This window comes from Homo sapiens, chromosome X (genome assembly GCF_000001405.40).
Source record: "Homo sapiens chromosome X, GRCh38.p14 Primary Assembly".
Taxonomy (NCBI): domain Eukaryota; kingdom Metazoa; phylum Chordata; class Mammalia; order Primates; family Hominidae; genus Homo; species Homo sapiens.
Window position 1 is genome coordinate 47,137,332 of NC_000023.11, and position 27,801 is coordinate 47,165,132.

Below are 27,801 nucleotides of genomic sequence, written 5' to 3' on the forward strand. Positions count from 1 at the left end.
ACCCAGGCTGGAGTGCAGTGGCCCGATCTCAGCTCACTGCAACCTTTGCCTCCCGTGCTCCAGCAATTCTCCACCTCAGCCTTCCGAGTAGCTGGAATTACAGGCGTGTGACACCATGCCCAGCCCAGTTGCCCAGGCTGGCCTCAGGCTCCTGGCCTCAAGTGATCTGCCCACCTCAGCCTCCCAAAGTGCTGGGATTACAGGCGTGAGCCACCACACCCAGCCTCTGGATTTATTTTTAACTTAATCCATACTTATCACTTCCCTACATACATATAACACACAAATTGTGCTGTTTATTTTCTGTCTCTCCCAGCTGGAATACAGGCTCCATGAGGGCGGGCATTTTTAAATCTTTTGTTCCCTGCTGTATCCCCTTTGCCTGTAACAGTGCCTGGGCAGGAGGATCGCTTCAGTCCAGGGTCCAGGCTGCAGTGAGCCATAGTCATGCCACTGCACTCCAGCCTGACCAACAGAGCAAGACCCTATCTCAAAACAAAAATAAAAACAAAACAACAGGAACAGTGCCTAGGACCCTGTAGGCACTTCAATAAATATTTGTTGAATGAATACCTCCTGTCATTCTGAGCTTTATTTGTGGACAGTTTCCATTGAGTCTAATATTTCAGGATCAAAATTTGCAGGTCCACATTTTGTTGAGAACATCAAAAACTTCCATCAATTTTCCCTCAACACAGTTTCAGGTTCACAGTTTTGGCTGCTGTCAGTTTATTCTGTGGTGCTTATGTTTATTGGTAATAGTCACTGTTAATCTGGTAAGATGTTCTATTTTTATTTTCTGGGTGATGTCCTATTAGATTGAAGGATAAAGGAGGCCAGTATCTATTATGTGGGCAGAACAAAGTTGCGTCCAAAATATGAAAGTTCAAAGGTCCCTGGGGTCGAACAGTAGGGTGAAAACATTGTATTAAGGTCTCTGATCACTCACACCAGCCTCTGCCCTCATCCTGGGAAATTCCTAAGGGCAGGGACCCTGATATCCGCCAGTGCCTGGCACACTGTTGGGGCTTGGCACTCAGTAGGCACTCCCTCCCTCTTCATCCCAATGTGGTCCTTAAAAGGTCAGTCATCCCCAGCCTGGCCAACATGGTGAAACCCTGTCTCTACTAAAAAAAAAATACAAACAAAATTAGCCGGGCGTGGTGGTGGGTGCCTGTAGTTCCAGCTACTCAGGAGGCTGAGGCAGGAGAATCGTTTGAACCTGGGAGAAGGAGGTTGCAGAGAGCCGAGATCATGCCACTGCATTCCAGCCTGGGCAACAGAGTGAGACCCTGTCTCAAGAAAAGAAAAAAAAAAAGGTTAGTCATCCGCCAGAATGGCTGCAGTGAAAAAGATGGGAAATGCCGAATGATGGGGAGTCAACTCTGGGAAAGTGTAGATTGGAAAATTGGCATGATTTACTGAAGCTGATTGGTCACATGTCTACGCAATGACTTAGCAATTCCATTCCTAGGTTATATACCCAAGAAATGAGTACATATGTCTATCAAAAGATGTGTACAAGAATGTTCACAGAATTATTCTTAGCCAGGCACAGTGGCTCATGCTTGTAATCCCAGCACTCTGGGAGGCCAAGGTAGGTGGATCACTTAAGATCAGGGGTTTGAGATCAGCCTGGCCAACCTGGTGAAACACTGTCTCTACTAAAAATACAAAAATTAGCTGGGCCTGGTGGGTCACGCCTATAACCCCAGCTACTCGGGAGGCTGAGGCATGAGAATCACTCCAACCCAGGGAGGTGGAGGTTGCAGTGAGCCAAGATCGCACCACTGCACTCCAGCCTGAGCGACAGAGCAAGACTCTGTCTCAAAAGAAAAAAAAATTCTTAATAGCCCCAAATATAAAACAACTCAAATGCTCAGCAACGTAAGAATGGCTAAAGTCTGGTCTGTTCATACAATGAAATGGAATACAGCAATGAGGATGAACAAACTACTCATGTATGTGACGATGTTGATCAGTCTCACAAACGTTGTACAGAATGAAAGAAACTGGACACAAAACCAGACCAAAGTAACCTAACATTGTTAGAAGTCAGGAGAGTGGCTACCTTTGGTGGGGAAGAGGGAAGACCTGAAGGGAGCTTCTGGGGTTTGCCATGTTGTGATTTTTGTTTGTCTTTTTGTTTTTGAGACAGGGTCTCGCTCTGTGGCCCAGGCTGGAGTGTAGTGGCACGGTGCGATCTCGGCTCACTGCAACCTCTGCCTCCTAGGCTCAAGCGATCCTCCCACCTCAGCACCCTTACTAGCTGGGACCATCATGCCTCGCTAATTTTTGTATTTTTTGTAGAGACGAGGTTTCACCATGTTGCCCAGGCTAGTCTCAAACTCCCAAGCTTGAGACACCAGTCTGCCTCTGCCTCTCAAAGTATGTTTCTTGACCTGAGTGCTGGTTATATGGGTGTGCCCAATTTATAAAAAGTAAATGAGCTTTGTGAGCTTTTCTGCATGTGTATTTTAATTCAATGATTTATAAAGAGTCAGTCAGTGTGGCTGGGCCATGATGAGGGAGGGGAAGGTAGTATTGTCAGAATGGGGCCAGGGCTCGGATTTTAGGATTAAGTCTAAGTGCAGCCTTCTGTTTGACCAGAATGGAGGCTTCTGGAGAGCCCTGGAGCTTGATGAGGCAGAGCAGAAGGGAATGAGAAGTGTTCATCCTCAGGGGGGTAAGCCAGAAGGCAAGGATGGGTATGGGATGTCACCTACACAGGAGGTATCAATACCAAATGTTTATCAAGCACATACCATGCCAGTCACTGCTCTAAGTGAACAGAACATATGTGAATACCTGCCCTTCTGGAATTTACATCCTGGTGGGTGGTGAGTGGAGAGAATGTGCTCTCTAGGCACCAGGCTGAGGCTTATTATAGGGGTTATTGCACCAATATACCCAGGTACTTGGTGGCTGGGGTAACATGCCCCTTTCACTTCCATAGTCCCACTAACTGCAGGGGGAGGGTAGAGAGTGCTCCCTTTATACATTAGTACTCTCTGCTTTGGGGTACACTCGAGTTGGGAGACTGGCCCCACAAAGCAGCACTGGGGCAGGGGAAGCCCTCAGGGTCTTCCTCACTTGCAGGAAGGCTCATGCAGATATGGCTCCCGCCTCAGCCACATGTAAGTGGATTTGGGTTCTCCTGAGACCCAGTAGCTAGAAGTAGGGCATTGCCTCTAGTGGTGAATTTGGCAAGCCAGATTTTCTTCCTGTAGCCAGTGGCTGGAGGCTCCCACACCCTCCAAAGCCCCAGGCAGGGACAAGCACAGAGATGGTAGCAATGAATATATGAGGTGGTGATTTGAATGTGGGAGCTGTGGAAGGAAGAGATGCCAAGAGGGTGAAGGGAAGCCCACACTTAACAGAGATGCTTTTGAAAGAAACAAACTCAGCCAGGGCCAGAACAAGTCCCCTACTCCATCTGCCAGACTGAGAGACAGCAACCCTGGTGCAAGGAGACAGCCTATTTCCACAGAGGAAGAAAGTAAGGGAGAAAAGACTTCTTGATTTCGAGACACAGAAAGACAAAGAGAGGAAAGGGGGTGAGGAGAGAAACAGACACACGTGCACACACATACACACACACAGATGCATATCTTGAGTTAGAGGTCATCCAGATTTGGGGCAGAAGGGAATACAGGCATCCAGACTCACCAACACACAGGACAGGGGCAAACCCTAAAGCCCAGAGAGAAGCAGAGAGGACAGGGAGGGGAGACAAAACACCCACCCTTAGAAAGAGAAAGCCCTGCACTCACCCTCCACCTTAATCCCTGGTCTCCCTGGCTTCTCTTCAAACGTAGGAGGTCCCAGTGAGGTGGTCTGGCTCTAAAGATAGCTGCCAACAATTTCTTCCCATGTGCCACGCTGTCATCCAGAGGAGCCCCAAGCCGTCATGTAAGAAGCTGAGGTTAGGCTGGGCACAGTGGCTCATGCCTGTAATCCCAGCACTTTGGGAGACCGAGGCAGGTGGATGACCTACGGTCAGGAGTTCTAAACCAGCCTGGCCAACATGGTGAAACCCCATCTCTACTAAAAATAGAAAAATTAGCTGGGCATGGGGCGGGCGCCTGTAATCCCAGCTACTCGGGAGGCTGAGGCAGGAGAATTGCTTGAACCTCGGAGGCAGAGGTTGCAGTGAGCCGAGATGGTGCCACTGCATTCCAGCCTGGGTGATAAGAGTGAAACTCCTTCTTAAAAAAAAAAAAAAAAAGGCTGGGTACGGTGGCTCACACCGCTAATCCCAGCACTTTGGGAGGCCGAGGCGGGCGGATCACGAGGTCAGGAGATTGAGACCATCCTGGCCAACATGGTGAAACCCTGTCTCCACTAAAAATACAAAAATTAGCCAGGTATGGTGGCGGGCACCTGTAGTCCCAGCTACTCTGGAGGCTGAGGCAGGAGAATCGCTTGAACCCGGGAGGTGGAGATTGCAGTGAGCAGAGATTGTGCCACTGCACTCTAGCCTGGGTGACAGAGCAAGGCTCCATCTCAAAAAAAAAAAAAAAAAAAAAGTCAAGGCTGTTCTGCTGGAGAGAGGCCATATGGAAGAGGACTGAAGTGCCAGACATGTGAGTGAAGAAGCCATCTTAGATACCCAGCCCAGTTGAGCCTTCAGATGACTCCAGTCCCAGCCACCATCTAACTACAACTACCTGAGACCCCTAGAAGAGCCACCTTACTGAGCCCAGTCAACCCACAGGGCCATGAAAGAGAAGACTGAATTGTGGTTTTAAGCCACTAAGTTTTTAGGTGTTTGCTACACAGCAATATACAGCCAGAACACCCAGGGAAGGTTGCAGCAGCCCTTTTAAAGCTTTTGACACCCCCATCCCATATCCCCTTCACAACACAATCAACACTAGCGAGTCAGACTTTCAGCCCCTTTAATTAGGTGCTCTGAGAAGAGGTCAGAATGGCAGGCAGGGGGTGGGGAAGGCGGTGCTTCTTGAGCCCCACTTAGCAACTGGTCACTCATCCTCTGGCAGCTGGATCTTGCTGGGGTCGAAGCAGTTGGATTCCATGATGGGAAGGCCATTGGCCTCTCGGTATTTCACAAGCCTCTCAGCTTCGCGGCGGGACCACTCTTTCATCCTGGTAGTGCAAATAGCAGGGGTAGACGTGAGGGAGCCTCAACTGATACCAATCCCTCATCTCAGCTCCCCATTCCCAATGGTGCAGGAACAAAACTCCTGGCAGAATCCCCTTCAACCTCCATCCCTGCCTCTGCCTCTTACCCATCCCACGCTCTTGGACACCCTGTGCACCTGTAGTCAGGCAGATAGGCCACAAAGGTGCTGCCAAGGACCAGGATGATGGAGACGCCAAAGAAGAAGACAAGTCGCATGTTCCAGACGTCCAAAACGGGGTCCTTGTCATAACCATGGGAGTCTGGGTTCTGTGGAGAAATAGAGGTCAATGAGGGCTTCCTGCTGCTCCACAAAGCCTTATTCTGGCCCTGCATAACTTGGTCTCCATGTGCCCCTCTCACTAAATTCCTCTGTTTCCATTCTTGGGATATGTCAAGCTCCTTCCCACTGCAGGGCCACTGCACTTGCTGCTCTCTCTGCCTGGAAAGCCTTTCTTCCAGCTCTAGTCATGGCTGGATCTGTCTCCTCATTCAAGGTTTTAGATTCATCACCACTTCCTTCAGGAGGCACTCCCTAGTTACCTTGTCTTTCAAAGTTGAAGCATAGGAAACTGCTATTTTTATAGGTCACAAATGGTTGAATACTGGCAATTTCTTATAGCTCAAGCTAATGAAATAGCCCCCTACACCCAAGTCATTCTCTATCCACTTATCTTGCTTAACTTTGTCTTCACATCCTCTCTTCCTTCTGTCTCTTTCTAGTCTATGTTTACCTAAGTAGCATACTTTCCCCATTCTCTGTATATCATACATTCTCATGTTATATTATCTATTATACTACTTTGTATTATTGTTTTCTAATATTTTACTGTTTATTTTCTGTCTTCCCCACTATCATGTAAGCTCTATGAGAGCATGGGCTTTGTCTGATTTCCACACTGCTGTATCCCCAGGGCCCTGAACTGAGCCTGGCATACAGCAGGCCCTCAATACATATTTACAGAATGAACAAGCATCCTATATATCCAAGCCCCTTAACCAGAGGTTAGTATTGATGAAGTACTTATTATGTGCCAGTCTTTTCACATAGAAACACCTCACAATATCTCAGTGAGGTGAAACATGGCAATAATAAACACATTCTAGTGCTGAGTACATACTTACGAAGTGCCAGCTGCTGTTCTGACCATTTTTACTCATTTAATTACATGAGGCAGGTGGGGTGTCCTATTTTTTAGAAGGTGTCCTATTACTGTTCCCATCTTACAGACAAAGAAACTGAGGCACCAAGGGTTTATGCTACCAAGATCACACGGGTGGGTAACCGTCAGTGCTGCCTGATTTCACAGCGTCTGCTATTAATACAGCACAGCAGACCTGGTAGCCCTAAATTCAAATACCAGTTCCACCTCCACCATGTATTCAGTTATGTGAGCTAGGGCAATCCACTTAACATCTCTGTGCCTCAGTTTCCTCATCTGTAGGATGAGTATAATAATAGAGCCCACCTCGAAATGGGGTTTGTTTCGAGTATAAGATGAGCTAATGCATGTCAAGTGTTTAGAACACAGACGGGGCCCGGAGCGGTGGCTCATGCCTGTAATCCCAGCACCTTGGGAGGCCGAGGCGAGAGGATCGCTTGAGCCAGGAGTTCGAGACCAGCCTGGGCAACATAGCGAGATCTCGTCCCTATAAAAAAAAAAAAAAGAATGCAGACGGCAACGAGCAAGTGCCATATCGGTGTTTAGTATTATCGTTGTACTATACTGCTTCTAACGTGTTTTGAGCGCTGTCCACTTGAGGTGTGATTTCTGTCTGCAAAATAAAACCAATCCTGCCTCTGGCCCTGGAACGAAGATACCGAGAGACAAAGGAGGAACACAAGGTAGGCAAAATTCCCAAGTCTTCTAGGCTTTCGCCGGCCGCGCAGTCCTCTACTGCCTAAGAACGTCCTCTACAGCGCCCCATCTGCCGATCCCGGACTGACCCCTTCGGGGTTCCGTCCCCACTACCCCCCCCCCCCCCCCCGCCTCTCACCTTCTCATACAAGTTTTCGTCCTCGGGTTCTGGGTCCTCTTGCCACGGTGTGGTCGGTTCTGGGGGCCGCTTTCCCGCCACAGCGGACGGGGCGACCACAGTCCTGGAGAAGCTAGATTCCCAGCGGACGCGGGCGGCCGGGAGCCCTCGCGTCGCCGCTGCCGCCAAAAGACGGCGAGCGCTCAAACCAAACAGCCCAGCCGCCATGACAGATGGTGCTGCAGGGTCTCAGGGGCGGGGAAAGAAATGCGACTGTGCGCAGCTGCAGTGGGTGCGAGCGCGACAATCATCGCCCCGCCTCCGCCACGCTATATAGGTCCCAGATCTGATTTGGTTTTCCAATGAGGCGGGGCGTTGAGCAACCCTCTTTGCCTCCAGTTGTCGTGGCTTCGTGGGGCCAACCATTTTCGGCCAGGCTGAGAAATTTCTTATTGATGGGTCTGCTCATTTCCTGCATAGGAAGAAATCGGTGACATTTGGGTGGATACAGTTCCCAGCCAATCGCCCCGAGTTCCCTCGCCCACTGGGGAAAGAGGCAGAGCTTCCGCTAGTCTTTCATCTTCAAAGGAAATCAAGCTTCTAAAAAGCGGGCCCTGCCGAATTGGCTAATAGCTACTCCTTTTCTCCACTAGGGGAGCGTTCGCAAGGGGTGTGGGGAGGTGGCCAGCGCTTGCCAATCAGAGGAGGCCAGGGCTGTCCCCTAGCGGGCGGTGACCAATCGCCGGGGCCGGCCAGAGCGCGCTTCCTTAGTAGGTGGATGGTGGTCGGAGCGCCGACTCCCTTCTCGTCGTCGCCATTTTGAGCTGGTGACTGTGGCCGGCTGGGAGTAGGCGGCAGTGAGTTTCCCTGGGAGGGCAGCGCGCTTGGCGCTTCTCCCCTCCCCCCGATCTGCCTCCAGTCTCGGACTTGGTTGTTGCGCGCTCCGGCTCCGGCTGAGCTGGGAGAGTTGGAGGAGGTGGCGGCGGGCAGAGGTGATGTCTGGGAGCCCTTCCTTGACAGCCCGGGCCGAGAAGGTGAGCGTCGACGCTGGTCGTGGGGGCGGAGGTAAGGGGCCCGGGGCGGGGACGTAGAGGAGGCGCGAGGGCGGACTTCGGGTCGGGGGAGATGCGCGGAACGGAGGGGTTGGTGCAATGTCTCAACCCGGGAGGGTTTTTTTTTTTTTGGTTTTTTTTTTTTTTTTTTTTTTTTTTGGTGTGAGCAAAGGCGCGTGCGCGACTGGGACATGGGATGGGTGCATGCGGGTTGGGGGAAGGGAGGGACGGATGGGAGTGGGCTACTGTGGATCACTGTGTCGGCTACATCGAAGTTTATCAGTGGGGAAGCGGTTGTCTGCGACTTTGAGTTTGTGCATAGGAGAGGGGATGCTGCTCTGTGTTACTCTGGTGTTTATCGGTCCATGGGGAAATATTCTGTGGTTCTGGTCTCTATTCCTGGGGGATCGGAGGGGGGATGTGACTCTGGTCTTTACCCTTTGAGGGGGGGCGGTCTGTGACTCTGATCCTTATCCATGGGGCGGGGCTTGGGGGACGACTGTCTTTTGATTGACCCTAACCCACTTATTGGGTGGGAAGGGGCATGCAGGGAATGTGTGTGTGACTCATTGCCCCTTCTTTTGGGGAGTTTGTATCTGTGACACTGACGCTCATCCATGGAAAGGGGACCCACTGTGTAATTGTGGTCCTTACTGTGTGTTCCTTCTGTGATGTGGGCCCGTAGTTATTTGGGGCTCGTGTCTGTGACTGGCCCTTGGCTGTGGTGGATGTTACTGTGTGACTCTGGCCCCTTTGCCAGAGTCTCTTGAAGGTTTTTGTGCTCTCAGACGCCAGTGCCTCTGTGTGATTCTAACTCTTGCCCACCTGGGAGCAGGTAACTCGGGTTCCCTGTGGCTTGAGGAGGAAGAGAAAATTGGAGTGTGTTTGTCTGTGTATGTGTGTGCACGAGCATAGAGCAAAGGTGTGGCAGCAACCTAGTGTTGAGCAGGTGCTATTATTGCCTGGCTTTACCTGCTTCTTATTCAGAGGGTGGGGCCTGAAGATCTGGGATTCATCCTGACCTCTGGCTGGGTCACAGGGTTCTCAGGACTCCCTGAGTTCTCACCACAGCCCTGAGGGTTGGATGAAGTGGCTGCTGCTCCATCCCAATAGAAGAGCACAGTGGTTCAGAACAGCCTCCAAAAGGGCCCCTTTTGCCTCTGGAAACCGGGCTTGAGCCCTGGGGAGGGAACCACCTTAGGACCGGGCTGCACATAAGAGACAGGGCTCAGGGCTGAGCCAGTTGCTGTGTGAGGGCCAAGGCTGTGTTGGCCAGGAGCCCAGGGAGGTGGCAGCTGTCTCGTCGCCAAGTTCGCCCCTTCACACACCCCCCCAAGAGCCTTTCATGGTCTTTTGCTGCCTTATAGGGGACAGCCAGCAGCTTGTTGGGAGGATGAGATGGTCCCTTGGGGCCTGTGGAAGGAGCCTGGGGCCCCCATTGTTGTGAAGTCTTGTCTGATGTGCTGAATCTCAGGCAAGACTTTCAGCCCTGAGAGTCCCCTACCCCCACCCTGGGATGCAGCCCCAGGCTTGAATTTGTCTACCTGTCTTAGGTGGCAAAGCCCTGATCACACTGTGGGTGGCCCCGCCAGGTCTCTCTGCAAGATGCCCCCTGTCTGCTGAAGTCCTTGCTGTTTTCTAGGGCAGTGGGCTCTAGCCTTATGTTTGCGGGGAAAGGGAGGAGCAGGCCAAGTAGGGGCTACCTTCATACTGTGATGCACAGGAGTGCTGGGAGCTGGAAGACAATGTCCCTGGGCTAAGGGGCAGCGGAGAGCCTTGACAATAAGAGTTTCTCAAGGAGGCCCTCTCAGTCCCAACAGTTTTGACCCCTTTCTTCCCTCCACTCTCCCCAGAGTCCCTGCAGGAAGCATCACCCAGGCTGGCAGATCATGGTAGCAGCAGCGGGGGTGGCTGGGAAGTGAAACGGAGCCAGCGGCTGAGGAGGGGCCCCAGCAGCCCCCGAAGGCCCTATCAGGACATGGAGTATGAAAGACGGTGAGTTATCTGTTCTCAGCTTCCCAGACAGCCTAGGCTTGCGTCTATGTGAGAATTGATCCAAGAAGGTGCTAGGATGGGGCTTCTGGGTAGAGGAAACAGCATAGCAGATGATGGGTTTCTTTTCAGCAGACAGGTGTTTGGCACCTGTTGTGAGCCAGGACCTGTGCTAGGCTCTGATAGTGCAGTGATGAATGAGACATGAGATTGCATCCTTCTCAGTACTCAGGGTGTCACAGGGACGCTATGCAGTTAACGGGTGGGAGGTTGAGGTTGGGGCTATAGCCTGGGGTATGAGGGATGGGTGGGAATGGCACCATCAGAGTCAGGATTTGCCCGGGACCACTAGGGGACAAGCCAGGTCAGATAGTGGAAGACTCCAGGGACAGTATGGGCTACAGTTGGCATGATACTTGCTGGGAATGGATACTCTCAGACAGTTATTTCTTCAGCTCTGCTATGAACAAGGAATAGCTGGAACACTGGGTAAAATACAGAAATCCTGAGTAAAATTCAGTGATCCCTCGCCATCCAGGTGATTCCGAGGCAGGTGACCCAGCCATGACACTTGAAGATTGCCTAGAAAAGCAGACCTAACTCTCTCAGAAAGCCTCTATTAAGACTCAAGAGTCAATAGCTTTATAAAAAGAGAAAATAATTTTTAAAATGTTTTACGAAGTGTTTCTTCTACCACCACTCCTTTTAAAAATGTAGAATTGTAATATTTTGTTTTCTGAAAAGTGAGCCCAAATTTGAGATAAGGTCATCACCTAGTGTTATTCAGTCTTGGCTTTCATTAGAAATGTTTTTTGAAAGACATTTGATTTTGGACGGTATTCACTAGAAGTGCTCTGTGGCCATTTCTGAATTTGAGTAGCTGACATACATACTTTGTTCAAACTTTATTACCAAGTAAAACCATTGACTTTTAAAAGCCCTCAAGTGCAGAGGTTTGAGTTCATCATACTTTCCAGTTCAAGGTAGGTTTCTGTCATAGGTCAGCAAAAGGCTTCCTCTTGTCATGTTTATTTTTTCATTTTTATTCCCAATTCCCACCTCTGTGGGCAGCTGCTCTGTCGTGTTTGATATGTATCCTTCTATGATACATATCATAGAAAATGTATCCTTCTATGATACATATCATAGAAAATGTATCCTTCTATGATACATATCATAGAAAATGTATCCTTCTATGATACATATCATAGAAAATGTATCCTTCTATGATACATATCATAGAAAATGTATCCTTCTATGATACATATCATAGAAAATGTATCCTTCTATGATACATATCATAGAAAATGTATCCTTCTATGATACATATCATAGAAAATGTATCCTTCTATGATACATATCATAGAAAATGTATCCTTCTATGATACATATCATAGAAAATGTATCCTTCTATGATACATATCATAGAAAATGTATCCTTCTATGATACATATCATAGAAAATGTATCATAGATTTATCATATAGATCATTTTCATATAAATGTATCATATAGATACATGTATCATATAAATACATACATAAATGTATCATATAGATACATTTTCATAGAAAATGAAAATATGAAGTGTTGTTTTGAGTGACTGTGTTTTCAGTTGACACACATGGCATGGTGCCACAGTCTTCGTTTTGTTTCCTGAACTTTGTATTACTCAGAGTGGGAGGTTTTTTTTGTTTTTTGTTTTTTGTTTTGAGACAGGGTGTCTCTATGTTGCCCAGGCTGGTCTCAAACTCCTGGGCTCAGGCAATTCTCCTCCCTTGGCCTCCCAAAGTGCTGGGATTAAAGGCATGAGCCGCTGTAACTGGCCAACAGTGCTGTTTTTTTTTGTTTGTTTGTTTTGTTTTGTTTTGTTTCTTTGTTTTGAGAAAGAGTTTCACTCTTGTTGCCCAGGCTGGAGTGCAATGGCGCAGTCTTGGCTGACCACAACCTCTGCCTCCCGGTTTCAAGCGATTCTCCTGCCTTAGCCTCCCACATAGCTGGGATTTCAGGCATGTGCCACCACGCCTGGCTAATTTTGTATTTTTAGTAGAGATGGGGTTTCTCCATGCTGGTCAGGCTGGTCTCGAACTCTCGACTTCAGGTGATCCTCCCATCTTGGCCTCCCAAAGTGCTGGGATTATGGGCATGAGCCACCACACCCGGCACAGTGCTGTATTTTTAACATCTGTCTGTATTGCCATGTATATGTTACTACTTTGTTTCTAATTGCTGGCAAGGGCATCATGGGGCATGTCTACTGAGTTTTACTTAATACTTCCCCCAAGAGTAGATGCCTGTTGTTAATTTTGATGTGCTAGCATCATTTTTTTTTTTTTTTTTTTTGAGACGGAGTTTCGCTCTTGTTGCCCAGGCTGGAGTACAATGGCGCGATCTCGGCTCACCACAACCTCCACCTCCCAGGTTCAAGCAATTCTCCTGCCTCAGCCTCCCAAGTAGCTGGGATTACAGGCATGCGCCACCACGCCCAGCTAATTTTTTGTATTTTTAGTAGAGATGGGGTTTCTCCATGTTGGTCAGGCTGGTCTCGAACTCCTGACCTCAGGTGATCCGCCTGCCTCGGCCTCCCAAAGTGTTGGGATTACAGGCGTGAGCCACCGTGCCCAGCCCAACGTCACCTTTTTTGCTTTATCTGTTAATGTATAGTGTTTTTTGTTTGTTTGTTTGTTTGTTTTGAGATGAGTCTCGCTCTGTCACCCATGCTGGAGTGCAGTGGCACGATCTCGGCTCACTGCAAACTTCGCCTCCCGGGTTCACACCATTCTCCTGCCTCAGCCTCCCGAGTAGCTGGTGCTACAGGCGCCCGCCACCACACCTGGCTAATTTTTTGTATTTTTAGTAGAGATGGGGTTTCACTGTGTTAGCCAGGATGGTCTCGATCTCCTGACCTGGTGATCCACCCGCCTTGGCCTCCCAAAATGCTAGGATTACAGGTGTGAGCCACTGCGCCCAGCCTAATGTAGTTTTTACCTTTTGCATTCAGATCTTTAATCCATCTAGATTCCACTCTTGAATATGGCATACGGTAGGCTCCGGTTTTATTTTCTTCCATATAGTAGGCAGTTTTTCCAGTACCACCTCCTAAATAGTCCATTCTTTCTTTATTGATCTGTGGTACCTCATCTGATTTCAGGTTCCCTCATGTACATGGATCCGTCTTGAGTGATGTGATTTGTTCCATTGGTCTATTTGCACATTCTTGTGCCAGCACCTTACTGTTTTTATTATTATGGCTTTATAGAATGTCTTAGTAGCTCCTTTGCACTTATTTTTCAAAGCTGGTTTAATCATTTATGGGGCTTTATTATATATCAAAAGTTATCAAAGTCCCTCAAAAACAACAAGAATTTTGATCGATGTTACACTGAACTTCTCTATTAATTTGGGGAAAATTATCTTTGTAAGTAGTCATTTCATCTAAGACCTTTGTAGAGAATATTTTGAAATTTATGTAAAGAGCATAAAAAGCTTTCATTTTCATAAATGGAAATACAGGTCTTATGTATTCTTTGTTAAAGTAATCCCTAGGTACTTCAGTCACTTTCATTATCTTTTTTTTTTTTTCTCGAGACTTGGTCTTGCTCTGTCACCCAGGCTGGAGTGCAGTGGCGACCTCCACAGGCTCAAGTGATCTTCCTACCTCAGCCTTCCAAGTAGCTAGGACTACAGGCACGCACCACCACGCCCAGCTAATTTTTTGTAGAGACGGAGTTTCACCATGTTGTCCAGGCTGATCTTGAACTCCTGAGCTCCAGCAATCCACCCACCTTGGCCTCCCAAAGTTCTGGGATTACAGGCCATTATCTTATTTTTTAAAAAATATTTTTCATGCTGGTATTTGCTGGGGTAGAGGAAAGCTGTTGATTTCTGTAAGTTACCCCTGCTGTATGCCCTTATTATTTCTAATACTTCATTGTTGATTCTGATGTTCTTTCTAAGTAGTTGGTCATATTGTATGCAAATCTATCCTGTCACTTATTTATTTTTCTTCATTTATAGTATTGTCCAGGACTTTTAGTACCATATTAAATAGTATAAGTGATACTGGGTACACAAATTAAGATTTACTTTGGCTGGTTGTGGCAGAAAGTCCAAAGGATAATGGCTTAGACAAGATAGTTTACTTTTCTTTCCCATAAAGGCAGTCTGCAGAAGAGCAATTAATCTAGGGCTGACAGGCAGCCCCTTCTGTGTAGCCATCCTCAGCACATGGCAGTTGAGACAGTAGGAAGAAGGGAGAGGAATAAAAGGGAATGTGTCTAAAGTTTCTCCATTAAGTATGGTGCATGCAGTAAGTTTTTAGAATGTATCCTTTAATAAATCAAGAAAATTATCTAATCTTCGTTTGCTAAGATTGACCATAAATAAGTATTGAACTTCAAAATCCTGTGCTTTTTTTCTCCCTTTGTCCATTAATTTCATAAATTGTGGCCTGGCATGGTGGATCACAGCACCTTGGGAGGCCAAGGTGGTTGGATCGCTTGAGGCCAGGAGTTCAAGACCAGCCTGGCCAACATGGTGAAACCTCATTTCTACTAAAAATAAAAAAATCAGCCAGGCGTGGTGAAGCATGTCTGTAATCCCAGCTACTGGGGAGACTGAGACATGAGAATCGCTTGAACCTGGGAGGTGGAGGTTGCAATAAGCTGAGATCGTGCCACTGCACTCCATCCTGGGCAACAGAGTGAGACTCCATATCAAAAAAATAAATAAAAATTTTGTAAATTGCATTAAATGATATCCTTGGCATTCTTGAGCTATACCCCACTTGATCATGGTATGTATGTATATGTTTATGACTTCTTACTTTGAAAATATCTCAAATTTACAGAAAGGTTGCAAGAAAAAGTATAATGAATTCCCATATATCCTCTACTCAGAATTACTTGTTTTAAGTATTTTGCCACATTTGCTCTATCACTCTATATCTTTTTTTTTTTTTTTTTTTTTTTTTGAGACGGAATCACTCTGTCACCCAGGCTGGAGTGCAATGGCGTGATCTTGGCTCACTGCAACCTCCGCCTCCTGTGTTCAAGCAATTCTCCTGCCTCAGCCTTCCAAGTAGCTGGGATTACACGCGCCTGCCAGTACGCCTGGCTAATTTTTGTATTTTTATTAGAAACGAGGTTTCACCATGTTGGTCAGGTTGGTCTCAAACTCCTGACCTCAGGTGATCCACCTGCCTCAGCTTCCCAAAGTGCTGGAATTACAGGCGTGAGCTACCGCGCCTGGCCCACCCTATAGCTCTATATCTTTACATAGACACACACACACACACACACACACACACACACACACACACACGTTTTTTTTAATCGTTTGAGTTGGTGGCAGCCATGACTTTTCTTTTTGAGTCAGAGTTTCACTCTTGTTGCCCAGGCTGGAGTGCAATGGTGCAATCTCGGCCCACTGCAACCTCTTCCTCCTGCATTCAAGCGATTCTCCTGCCTCAGTCTCCCAAGTAGCTGGGATTACAGGCATGCGTCACCACACCCAGCTAATTTTGTATTTTTAGTAGAGACAGGATTTTTCCATGTTGATCAGGCTGGTTTCAAACTCCCGACCTCAGGTGATCCGCCCATCTCGGCCTCCCAAAGTGCTGGGATTACAGGCATGAGCCACCACATCCAGCCTGACATGACCTTTTAAGTCTGGCAGCATGTACGTCTTAAGAACAAAGGTGTTCTCTTCCATAACCACAATATACTTATCAATATCAGGAAATTAAACAATTATATAGTACTTTTATTCTATATAAAGCCCATATTCAGATGTTATCACTCTTCTCAATAATGTCCTTTATAATGGTTTTCCCCAATCCAGGATCCAGTCCAAGATCATGTATTGCATTGAGCTCCTTGTCTCCTTTAATCTGAAACAGTTATTCTATCTTTGTCTTTTATGACCTTGTCATTTTTTTTTTTCCTGAACCTATGGATTATATTGAAAGCATGTTTTAAAGTTAGTTGTTTTATAGAATGTTTCTCAGTTTGGATTTTTCTGATGCTTACTCATGAGTTTTTGGCAGAAATGTTATTTAAGTGATTTATGTATATTTTTAAAACCTTGTTAGATTTTATTAGCCATTGTATCATCTAGGATATCTACACCTGTATTTATCAGTGAGGTAGTCCAATATTTTTATTTTCAGTATTTATCTGGCATTGGAATCAAGGTAGCCTCATTACATGAATTGGGCAGCCTTTGTTATTCTCTCTTTATTGGAGAAACTTGTATAAGAATTATCTGTACCTCGAAAAACTTGGTAGGACTCACCTTTAAAAGCATCTGGAGGCTGGGCGCAGTGGGCTGAGGCAGTTGGATCACTTGAACCCAGGAATTCGAGACGATCCTGGGCAACATGGCGAAACTCTGTCTCTACAAAAAATACAAAAATTAGCTGGGCGTGGTGGCAGGTGCCTATAGTTCTAACTACTCAGGAGGCTGAGGCAGGAGGATTACCTGAGTCTGGGAGGTTGAGACTGTGGTAAGCCATGATCATGCCACTGCACTCCAGCCTCAGTGACAGAGTGACACCCTGTCTCAAAAAATAATAAAATAAAAGCATCTGGAGCTGGTTTTTGATTACCATTTCATCTCTTCTGCCAATTTTAGCATTTTATATTTTCTAGAAATATACTCATTTTGTGAAGATCCTCATATATGATGATTCAGTCCAGCATCCTAGAAATGCTTTATAAAAGGGATATGCCTTTGGAAGGTGTTTGTTCAGAGTGCTTTGGTGGCCAATTAAAAATATTCCTTTCTATCCAAATATGTTCCCTTCCTGAGTTTAGATAGCAAGAGTTCAATACCTGAATTTATTTGGTTTGGATATTGGATGTCAAGAGAGTTCAGGATAATTTCATCTGAAAATTTATAAATTTATTCATATCTGTTCAGTTCTTGATTTTTTTTCCTTTTTTTTTTGTTTGTTTGTTTGTTTGTTTTTGTTTGTGGAGATAGTCTCACTCTGTCTTCCAGGCTGGAGTTCAGTGGTGCGATCTTGGCTCACCGCAACCTCTGCTTTCCAGGCTCAGGGGATTCTTGTGCCTCAGCTTCCTGAGTAGCAAGGATTACAGGCCCGTGCCACCACACCCGGCTAATTTTTGTATTTTAGTAGAGACGGGGTTTCACCATGTTTGCCAGACTGGTCTCGAACTCCGTACCTCAGGTGATCCACTCGCTTCAGCCTCCGAAAGTGCTGGGATTACAGGTGTGAGCCACCATGATGGCCCAGTTCTTGAATTTTGATGACTACAGTTCAAATTGATTGTATCAAGAACCTTATAACTACTCATACCACTGACAGTGATTTCTTCTCTAGGCATTTACGGTAGGGAAACAATTTGGGGCCAGGTGTGGTGGCTCACGCCTGTAATCCCAGCACTTTGGGAGGCCGAGGCGGGTGAATCACGAGGTCAGGAGTTTGGGACCAGCCTGGCCAACATGATGAAACCCCATCTCTACTAAAAATACAAAAAATTAGCTGGGTGTGGTGGCAGGCACCTGTAATCCCAGCTACTCGGGAGGCTGAGGAAGGACAATCGCTTGAACCCAGGAGGTGGAAGTTGCAGTGAGCCAAGATCACGCCACTGCACTCCAGCCCGGAGGACAGTGCGAGACTCCCTCTCAAAAAAAAAAAAAAAAAAAAAAGAGTTTGGGTTCCAAGCTGAGTTCGTGGGGACAGGGACTTTATTTTGTTCACAGCAGTATCCCCATTACCTAGAACAGTACTTATCGTATAGCCAATGTTAGGTTAATATTTGTTGAATGAATGCATGAACAAATAATTGTTTAAAAAAATGGAAGTCAACCAAAATGTTTGAAAACATGTTTAATGGATATTTGCCCCATTTGTTACTTATCTTTATGGTGTTTTCCATAGTTTAGTGTGAAATTTCAAGCATGTAGCAAAGTTTAAAGAATTTTACAATGGGCCTGGTGCGGTGGCTCATGCCTGTAATCCCAGCACTTTGGGAGGCTGAGGTGGGCAGATCACGAGGTCAGGAGATCAAGACCATCCTGGCTAACACAGTGAAACCCCATCTCTACTAAAAATACAAAAAAATTAGCCGGCTGTGGTGGCGGGCGCCTGTAGTCCCAGCTACTTGGGAGGCTGAGGCAGGAGAATGTCATGAACCCGGGTGGCGGAGCTTGCAGTGAGCCGAGATCGCCACTGCACTCCAGCCTGGGCAACAGAGCGAGACTCCATCTCAAAAAAAAAAAAAAAAAAAGAATTTTACAATGAACACCATATATACCCATCCACTAGATTCTTTTTTTTTCTTCTTTCTTTCTTTTTTTTTTTTTTGAGATGGAGTTTTGTTCTTGTTGCCTAGGCTGGAGTGCAATGACACAATCTCAGCTCACCGCAACCTCTGCCTCCTGGGTTCAAGTGATTCTCCTGCCTCAGCCTCCCGAGTAGCTAGGATTACAGGCACGCGCCACCACACCTGGCTAATTTTGTATTTTTAGTAGAGACGGCGTTTCTCCATGTTGCTCAGGCTGGTCTCAAACTCCCGACCTCAGGTGATCTGCCTGCCTCGGCCTCCCAAAGTGCTCGGATTATAGGTGTGAGCCACCGTGCCCAGCCCACTAGATTCTACTATTAACGTTTTACCATACTTGCTTTATTACATATTTACTTCTAAGTTTCTCGTATTTTTTACACTCTATAGAGATTTATAATTTTTACAAAGCCAGATTTATTCATTTTCCTTTTATGACTGCTGGGATTTGTCTTGCTGAGGAAGGCCTTCCCCACTCTTAAGGTGATACATTTTTTTCTTATGTTTTCTAATATTTGTTTTCTTTTTTTAAAAGTTCAACTTTTATTATAGATTAAAGGATACACATACAGTTTTTTTTTTTAACTCAGTGAAGATGTCTGCACAGCAGGAATCATGTGGGATGGGATGGCCCTTTTTCCTAACGCTGGACCACTTGATGTTCTCTTCCATCTTCCCCCAACCCTCATTTAGATCATGACATCAGAAAATCAGGTTAAAGTTAAGAAAAAGAAGAATCAGATCATTGGGGATTCTTAGTAGTAGCATCGCCATTGGGAGCTGCTAGCCCAGCGGGTATTCCCCATGCCACCCCTCTGGATCTTGGCTCCATGGGTACTGGGAGGAGGCCTTGTTGGCCAGGGAGGCCACGCTGTGCTGCTAGAAGCTGGGCGACATACTGGTGGTGCAGCAGAGTCTCGGGTGCGGCAGCTTGGAGGTACTACCCACATAGGCATTGGCCTTCCAGGGTGCATCCTGGCCCATCATGCTGCTGCAGCAGCTGTGGCTGGTGCTGCATGTCTGCTTGCCTGCTAGGCTGCTCGCCGGCTTGGCCAGGAGCTTGCTGTGCCTCAGTGGGGCCACATCCCCTGTGGCTGCTGTGGCTGTGCTCTGGTCTTGGAAAATGGTGGCGATGTGGTTCCAGAGGTCTGTGAAGAACCTGCTCACACCCTCGTAGGCTGGGAAGGCGTTGATGTCGATGACGGCATGCTGCCCCATCTGGTTGTTGATGATGATGTCGGTGCCGAACAGCAATACTCCCAGTGCCTGCCGCAGGGCCCGGGGGAGTTCCCGGATGACCTCTTTGCTCGGCTGCTCTTGAACAGACCAGACCCCTTGATCTTGTCCAGCTCCATCAGGACCAATGATGACTCTGGCTTTGACACACTGTGGCTATTGAGGAAGATGGATTCGTGGTCACATTGTGTCCGCGGAGAATTTCTTGAGCAAGGGCCTCTGGACCACGGTGTAGGACTTGCTGACCACGAACACCTTGTACAGAACGGTGTTGTGGTTGATGAAATTCTAGACCACACAGGGTGGCTGTATGCCATTCAGGCCCTCCTGATTGAATACAGTAGACATCTCGTGAGAGTTGGTGCCGTGAGCCACTCTAGTTTTGCACATGAACAGGAAAGCCAGGCTGTTCTTCTCCAGCAGCCACATGGTGTCATCCCCGCACAGGCTTGTGACCTCCATGAAGGGCAGCAAGCAGATCCTGCCGCCTTCCATGTAGATCTCAATCTTCCAGATGAGTTTGCAGGACTTGGAGCGGTCGAGCAGGGTTCTGACGGCAGGGAAGGAGTCCAGGACGATGGTTTCAGGGTGGGCATCGATGTAGTCCTGAAACCTGTGCACCAGCTCCAGGGACTGGCTGTCATTCTGGTCGGCTTCAAGGATGACATCAGTCAACTTGTGAATGATGACGTCCAGGGGTCCCTGCTCCTCGATTGGCCGGCTGAGGTTCAGCTGCATGACTTTTTTTTTTTTTTTTTTGAGATCAGTCTCACTCAGTCGCCCAGGCTGAAGTGCAGTGGTGTGATCTCAGCTCGTTGCAACCTCTGCCCCCCAGGTTCAAGCGATTCTCCTCCCTCAGCCTCCCGAGTAGCTAGGATTACAGGCACTTGCCACTACGGCTAGTTTTTGTATTTTTAGTAGAGACAGAGTTTCACCATGTTGGCCAGGCTGGTCTTGAACTCTCGACCTCAGGTGATCCACCCGCCTCGGCCTCCCAAAGTGCTGGGATTACAGGCGTGAGCCACCGCGCCCGGCCTCAGCTGCACCACTTCTATCCCTCACTTCCTGCACACCTCCGCTAAAGCCGGGAAATTGAGCTTCTTGATTTTCTTCTCATGCAGCCAGTAGCCAACTCTCTTCCCTTTCATAAAGGTCTATATCTTCCTCCTCGGGCAAGGAGCCTGGGTCCTGAGGAAATTGCCCATAGGCTGAGTCTGTTGGCCAGTGAGCGCTGGGAGCGTGCGGGCACCCCCTGGTGGCAGGGGTGTGGAAAGGGCTCGGGGTGCGGGGTTAGGGCCGCGTGGTGTCACGGTCTCCACAACCCCCCCACCCCTGGCCACCCAGCTGGAGCTCACGGCCCACATACAGGTTGTTCTTTTTTTCATACGCAGTTTCACTCTGTCGCCCAGGCTGGAGTACAGTGGTGCGATCGGCTCACTGTAACCTCCGCCTCCCTGGTTCAAGCAATTCTCGTGCCTCAGCCTGCCCAGTAGCTGGGACTGTAGGTGTGCACCACCATGCCCAGCTAATTTTGGTATTTTTTAGTAGAGACGAGGTTTCACCATGTTGCCCAGGCTGGTCTCAAACTCCTGACCTCAGTGATCTGCCCCCCTCGGCCTCCCAAAGTGCTAGGATTACAGGCATGGGCCACCGCATCTGGCCTGTACAGGTTTTTTTACATGGGTAAATTGCGTGACACTGAAGCTTGAGGCCCCGTTGATCCCATCACCCAAGCAGTAAGCTTAGTTCCCGACAGATGGTCCTTCAGCCCATGCCCCCCTTCCCACCTTCCCGGTCTAGTGATCCCCAATGTCTGATATTCCAATATTTACATTCATGTACATTCAACATTTAACTCCCATTTATAAGTGAGAACATGCAGTACTTGGTTTTCTGTTTTCGTGGCAGGTGGCTTAGGATAACAGCCTCCAGCTCCATCTATATGGCTGTGAAGGACATGATTTTGTCTTTTTTATGGCTGCATAGTATTCCATGGTGTATATGTACCACATTTTTCTTTATCCTGTCCACTATTGATGGGCATTCAGGCTGATTCCATGTCCTTGCTATTGTGAATAGTGCTGCAGTGGCCAGGCGCCATGGCCCATGCCAGTAATCCCATCACTTTGAGAGGCCGAGGTGGGCAGATCACCTGAGGTAGGGAGTTCGAGACCAGCCTGACCAACATGGAGAAACGCCATCTCTACTAAAAATAAAAAATTAGCCAGGCGTGGTGGCACGTGCCTGTAATCACAGCTACTCGGGAGGCTGAGGCAGGAGAATCTCTTGAACCAGGAGGTGGAGGTTGCGGTGAGCCGAGATTGCACCATTGCACTCCAGCCTGGGCAACAAGAGCGAAACTCCGTCTCAAAAAAAAAAAAAAAAAAAAGTGCCGCTTTGAACATGGGTGCATGTGATAGAATAAATTATTTTCCTTTGGGTATATACCCGGTAGCAGGATTACTGGGTCGAATAGCCAAAGCAATCCTAAGCAAAAAGAACAAAGCCAGAGGCATCACATTGTCCAACTTCAAACTATACTGTAAGGCTACAGTAATCAAAATAGCATGGTCCTGGTGCAAAAACAGACACATAAACCAGTGGAACAGAGTAGAGAACACAGAAATAAACCCGCACACATAGAACCATCTGATCTTTGACAAAATCAACAAAAGTAAGCAAGGGGGAAAGGACTCCCTGTTCAATAAGTGCTGGGATAGGTGGCTAGCCATATTCAGAAGAATGAAACCGGACCCTTACCTCTCACCATATACAAAAATTAAGATGTAAGACCTCAGACTATAAAAATCCTAGAAGGCCAGGCGCGGTGGCTCATGCCTGTAATCCCAGCACTTTGGGAGGCCGAGGCAGGCGGATCACCTGAGGTCGAGAGTTCGAGACGAGCCTGACCAACATGGAGAAACCCCATCTCTACTAAAAATACAGAATTAGCCAGGCGTGGTGGCGCATGCCTATAATCCCAGCTACTTGGGAGGCTGAGGCAGGAGAATCACTTGAACCTGAGAGGCGGAGGTTGCAGTGAGCCAAGATTGTGCCATTGCACTCCAGCCTGGGCGACAAGAGTGAAACTCTGCCTCAAAAAAAAAGAAAAAAAATCCTAGAAGAAAACCTAGGAAATGCCCTCCTCGATACAGGGTTTGGCAAAGAATTTATGGCTAAGTCCCCAAAAGCAATTGCAACAAAACCAAAAATTGACAATTTGGACCTAATTAAACAGCTTCTGCACAGCAAAAGAAACTACCAACAGAGTAAATGGACAGCCTACAGAATAGGAGAAAATCATAAGCTACACATCTGACAAAGGTCTAATATCCAGAATCTACAAGGAAGTTAAATCAATAGGCAAAAAGCAAAATTTCCAATTAAAAAATGGGCAAAGGACATGAACAGATACTTCTCAAAAGATAACATACAAGTGGCCAACAAACATGAAAAAATGCTCATCATCACTAATCATCAGAGAAATGCAAATCAAAACCACAAGGAGACACCGTCTCATGCCAGTCAGATGGCAATTATTAAAAAGTAAAAAAAAAAAAACATGTTAGTGAGGCTGCAAAGAAAAGAATGCTTATATACTGTTGGTGGGAATGCAAACTAGTTTGGTCATGGGAGAAAGCAGTTTCGAGATTTTTTTTTGGAGAGAGAGATTTCTTTAATATTTTTATGGTTTCTATTTGGGAATTTAAGTTTTCACCCATCCATAATTTATTTGGCGTAAGAAGTGAGGTAAACTTTGTTTTCTTAGTGGGCAACACTTTTCTGTGAAGGATCAGATAGTAAATATTTTTGGCATTGCATTGCAGGACTGTCTCTGTTGCAACTAAACTGAAAGCAGTCACGGACAATTTATGAATGAATGAATATAGCTGTGTTCCAGTAAAACTTTATTTAATTAATTTTTTTTTTGAAACAAGGTCTTGCTGTGTTGCCCTGGCTGGCTGGAGTGCAGTGGCGCGATCAGAGCTCACTGCAGCCTCTGTCTCCCTGGCTCAAGGGATCCTCCCACCTCAGCCTCACACACAGCTAATTTCTTTCTTTCTTTCTTTCTTTTTTTCTTTTTCCAGTAGAGACGAGGTCTGACTACTGTGTTACCCAGGCTGGGTCTGGAACTCAAGGGTTACTCCTGCCTTGGCCTTCCAAAGTGTTGGGATTACAGATGTGAGCCACTACATCTGGCCTCCACTAAAACTTTATTTAAGGAGACTGGATTTGGTCCACTGGCTATAGTTTGCTGATTCCTAGGCCAGATAGTTATTGTAACTATTATTTATTGACTAATTTGTTTTCCCCTTGTTAGTTTGAAATATAACCTTTGGCTTATACTGAATTTCCAAGTGTGTTTTTGTATGCTGTAGATTCTATTCTATTTCACTGATCTGTCTATTCATGTTTTAATTAATTTACCTTTATAATGTTTTAATATTTGCTAGAGTTCCTCTCAACTCATTAGTTTTTTTTTTTTTTTTTTTTAGTGAGAGAGAGAGAGAGAGAGAGAGAGGGTCTGGCTTTGTCGCCCAGGTGCAGTGGCGCGATCATGGCTCACTGCATCCTTGACCTCCTGGCCTCAAGTGATTCTCCTGCCTCAGCCTCCCAAGTAGCTGGGGATACAAACACGCACCACCACGCCTAACTACTTTTTGTATTTCTTTGTAGAGATGAGGTTTTGCCATGTCACCCAGGCTGGTCTTGAACTCCCGGGCTCGAGCGATCCGCCCACCTCATCCTCCCAAAGTGCTGGGATTAGGGGCATGAGCCACTGCTCCTGGCTTATCCTTTGTTTTTTGTTTTTGTTTGTTTTGAGACAGAGTCTCACTCTGTTGCCAGGCTGTAGTGCAGTGGCGCAATCTCGGCTCACTGCAATCTTTGCTCCCTGGGTTCATGAGATTCTCCTGCCTCAGCCTCCTGAGTAGCTGGGATTACAGGCACGCGTTACCACACCCAGCTAATTTTTGTATTTTTAGTAGAGACGGGGTTTCACCATGTTGGCCAGGCTGGTCTCCATCTCCTGATCTCGTGATCCGCCTGCCTTGGCCTCCCACAGTGCTGGGATTACAGGCGTGAGCCACTGCGCCCAGCCTGTCCTTTGTTTTTTAAAACAATGCTACAGTAACTTTTTTGTACATGTGCAAGTATGTGTATACTTTAAATTCCCAGAAGTAGAACTGTGGGTCAAAGGGTATATAGATTTTTAGTTTTGTCAGCTATTGCCGAATTCTCCTCTATAAGGATTATTCCATTTTTAACTCCTACCAGCAATATGAAAGTACCTGTTTTCCATACAGTCTTGCTGTTTGTTTTCAAACATTGGACTGTTGTAAATCTGTTAGATTAAAAATGTTCTATCAAATCTTCCTTACTAGTGATTATTGTATAGTACAATACTATATTATTTAATAGTTATCATAAATAATAATTTTAATATAACTCCAAATAATGTAGATACTCCCTCCTCTAGGAGGTAGAGCTTAATTACCCTCCTTTTGACTGTGGGCTGGTCTTAGAGACTCACCTCTAAAGAATAGAGTATGGAGGCCGGGTGTGGTGGCTCACGCCTGTAATCCCAGCACTTTGGGAGGGCGAGGGGGGCGGATCGTGAAGTCAGGAGATCGAGACCAGCCTGGCCAACATGATGAAACCCCGTCTCTACTAAAAATGCAAAAATTAGCTGGGGGTGGTGGCAGGTGCCTGTAATCCCAGCTACTTGGGAGGCTGAGGCAGGAGAATCGCTTGAACCCGGGTGGAGGTTGCAATGAGCTGAGATGGCGCCACCGCACTCCAGCCTGGCAACAAAGCGAGACTCCATCTCAAAAAAAAAAAATAGAGTATGGAGAGAGAAATAGAGAAATTTTACAGGGAAGAAACCTGGCAGACAGCACCTTAACTAGGTGATCATGGTTAACATCACCAGAGATAAGTCATGTTGTTATCATGTACTCTTCTGTGATATGATCAGAAGGGCATTTCACTATCTCACTTCTGTTGTATGCTTCTCCAAAAAAAAAAAAAAATCCATAATCTTAGGTCTAATCATGAGAACACATCAAACAAAACCAGTTAAAGGGCATTCTACAAAATACCTGGCCAGTGCTCTTCAAAACTGTTAAGGTCATTAAAAACAAACAAGGACAGACTGATAAACCTTCACAGGCCAGAGGAGACTGAGGGAACATGACAACTACATGTAATGTAATATTTAGGATTAAATCTTGGATCAGAAAAAGGATATTAACGAGAAAATTGGTGGAATCCTAATATAATCTGTAGTTTAGTTAATTCCTTAGTTTTGACAAATGTGCCTTAGTTTTGTTAATATTAGGGGAAGCTGGGTGAAGGGTATACAGGGATTCTTTGAACTTTTCTGCAAATGTAAAATTATTTCAAAATAAGAAGTTTGACTTCATCAAAATTAGAAACTTTTGTTTATTTTTGTTGGTTTTATAGCGATGAGTTTTCGGTATGTTGCCCAGGCTGGTCTCAAACTCTTGGGTTCATGTGATCCGCCCGTCTTGGCCTCCCAAAGTGCTGGAATTACAGGTGTGAGCCCACCACGCCTGGCCACAATTAGAAACTTTTGGAAGTCTCTCTGAACCTATTCTGGTTCAGGGACTGCTGGTAACAACAACAAAAGATTAGAAACTTTTTTTTTTGAGACGTAGTCTCACTCTGCTGCCCAGGCTGGAGTGCAGTGGCGCGATCTCGGCTCACTGCAAGCTCCGCCTCCCAGGTTCACGCCATTGTCCTGCCTCAGCCTCCCAAATAGCTGGGACTACAGGCGCCTGCCACCACGCCTGGCTAATTTTTTTTTTTTTTTTTTTTTTTTTTTGAGACGGAGTCTCACTCTGTCGCCCAGGCTGGAGTGCAGTGGCGCGATCTCTGCTCACTGCAAGCTCCACCTCCCGGATTCACGCCATTCTCCTGCCTCAGCCTCCTGAGTAGCTGGGACTGCAGGCGCCCGCCACCACGCCCGGCTAATTTTTTGTATTTTTTAGTAGAGACGGGGTTTCACCGTGTTAGCCAGGATTGTCTCGATCTCCTGACCTTGCGATCTGCCCACATTGGCCTCCCAAAGTGCTGGGATTACAGGCGTGAGTCACTGTGCCTGGCCGATTAGAAACTTTTATACTTCCAAAGACACTATCAAGAAAGTGAAAAGACAACCCACAATGGGAAAACATATTTGTAAATAATATATCTGGTAAGGGATTAACATCCAGAATATATGAACTCTTACAACAACAAAATTATCCAATTTAAAAATGGGCAAAGGATTCATGACCAGCTTGACTTAACATGGTGAAACCCCTGTCTCTACTAAAAATACAAAACATCAGCCAGGTGTGGTGGCAGGCGCCTGTAATCACTGCTACTCGGGAGGCTGAACCTGGGAGGCAGAGGTTGCAGTGAGCTGAGATCATGCCACTGCCCTCCAGCCTGGGTGACAGAGTTGTACTCCATCTCAAAAAAAAAAAAAAAAATTGGCAAAAGGACTTGAATAGACATTTCTCCAAGAAAGATATACAAGTGGCCAGTAAGCACATGAAAAGATGCAAAATAACAAGTGTTGGTGAGGATGCGGGGAAATTGGAACCCTTGTGCAACACTGGTAGGAATGTAAAATGGTACAGCTGCTGTGGAAAACAGTTTGGCGGTTCCAGAAAAAGTTAAACACAGGATTACCATATGATCCAGCAATTCCACTCCTAGATATATACCCAAAAGAATTGAAAGCAATAATTCAAACAGATACTTGGACACCAATATTCATAGCAGCGTTATTCACAATGTCCAAAATAACCAAGGGGTGGAAACAACCCAAGTGTGCACGAACAGATGAATGAACAAAATATGCATACTACAATAGAAGAGTATTATTCCACCATAAAAAGGAAGGAAATTCTAACATACTGCCTTGTGGATGAACCTTGAAAACATGCCAGGTGAAATAAGCTAGACACATAGGGACAAATATATGATTCCACTACTATGAAGTACCTAGAATAGGCAAATTCATTGAGACAGAAAGTAGAATAGAGGCTGTGGGGTGGGGTGAGAATTGTTTAATGGGTACA

The 27,801-nt window shown here is 46.6% G+C and overlaps 2 protein-coding genes and 1 pseudogene across 14 annotated transcripts in view, besides 1 other annotated feature; 1 reads left to right on the forward strand and 2 right to left on the reverse strand.

Annotated features, from left to right (window-relative positions):
• NDUFB11 (NADH:ubiquinone oxidoreductase subunit B11) lies at positions 4,885–8,160 on the reverse strand. Of its 2 annotated transcripts, none has more exons than NM_019056.7 (3): positions 7,142–8,160; positions 5,253–5,413; positions 4,885–5,109 (listed from the first exon to the last, which is right to left on the reverse strand). In NM_019056.7, the coding sequence occupies exons 1-3, from the start codon at positions 7,346–7,348 to the stop codon at positions 4,986–4,988; spliced, it is 492 nt and encodes a 163-aa protein (NP_061929.2). In that variant the 5' UTR covers positions 7,349–8,160; the 3' UTR covers positions 4,885–4,985. The 2 variants fall into 2 exon arrangements, with proteins under 2 accessions (NP_061929.2, NP_001129470.1); NM_001135998.3 differs by having other exon boundaries at positions 5,283–5,413; positions 7,142–7,371.
• The window catches only part of RBM10 (RNA binding motif protein 10), a 41,593-nt gene continuing 21,681 nt past the window's right edge, over positions 7,890–27,801 (forward strand). For 6 of the 12 annotated variants that reach the window (NM_001204468.2, NM_001440861.1, XM_047442551.1 and 3 more), the window contains exons 1-2: positions 7,890–8,185; positions 10,026–10,167. In NM_001204468.2, the coding sequence (NP_001191397.1) occupies positions 8,116–8,185; positions 10,026–10,167 (212 nt within the window). In that variant the 5' untranslated portion in view covers positions 7,890–8,115. The remainder of the gene's footprint in view (positions 8,186–10,025; positions 10,168–27,801) is intronic. The other 6 variants (NM_005676.5, NM_001204467.2, XM_047442552.1 and 3 more) reach the window with 1 other exon arrangement.
• Positions 7,914–8,183: an enhancer, noted in NCBI's record as "active region_29582". NCBI's record gives its function as "activates an Ori minimal core promoter by ATAC-STARR-seq in GM12878 lymphoblastoid cells {active_cell/tissue: GM12878}" and the evidence as "EXISTENCE:reporter gene assay evidence [ECO:0000049][PMID:35858748]".
• ITPK1P1 (ITPK1 pseudogene 1) lies at positions 19,056–20,444 on the reverse strand (annotated as a pseudogene).

Bases quoted from the DNA above. Each gene is read 5' to 3' on its own strand.
- NDUFB11 (NM_019056.7), bottom strand. From the start codon at position 7,348: ATGGCGGCTGGGCTGTTTGGTTTGAGCGCTCGCCGTCTTTTGGCGGCA. The intron at 5,414-7,141 runs GTGAGAGGCGGG...ATTTCTCCACAG, and splicing joins ACGAAAACTTGTATGAGAAG to AACCCAGACTCCCATGGTTA. The intron at 5,110-5,252 runs GTAAGAGGCAGA...TTGCACTACCAG, and splicing joins TGTCCAAGAGCGTGGGATGG to GATGAAAGAGTGGTCCCGCC.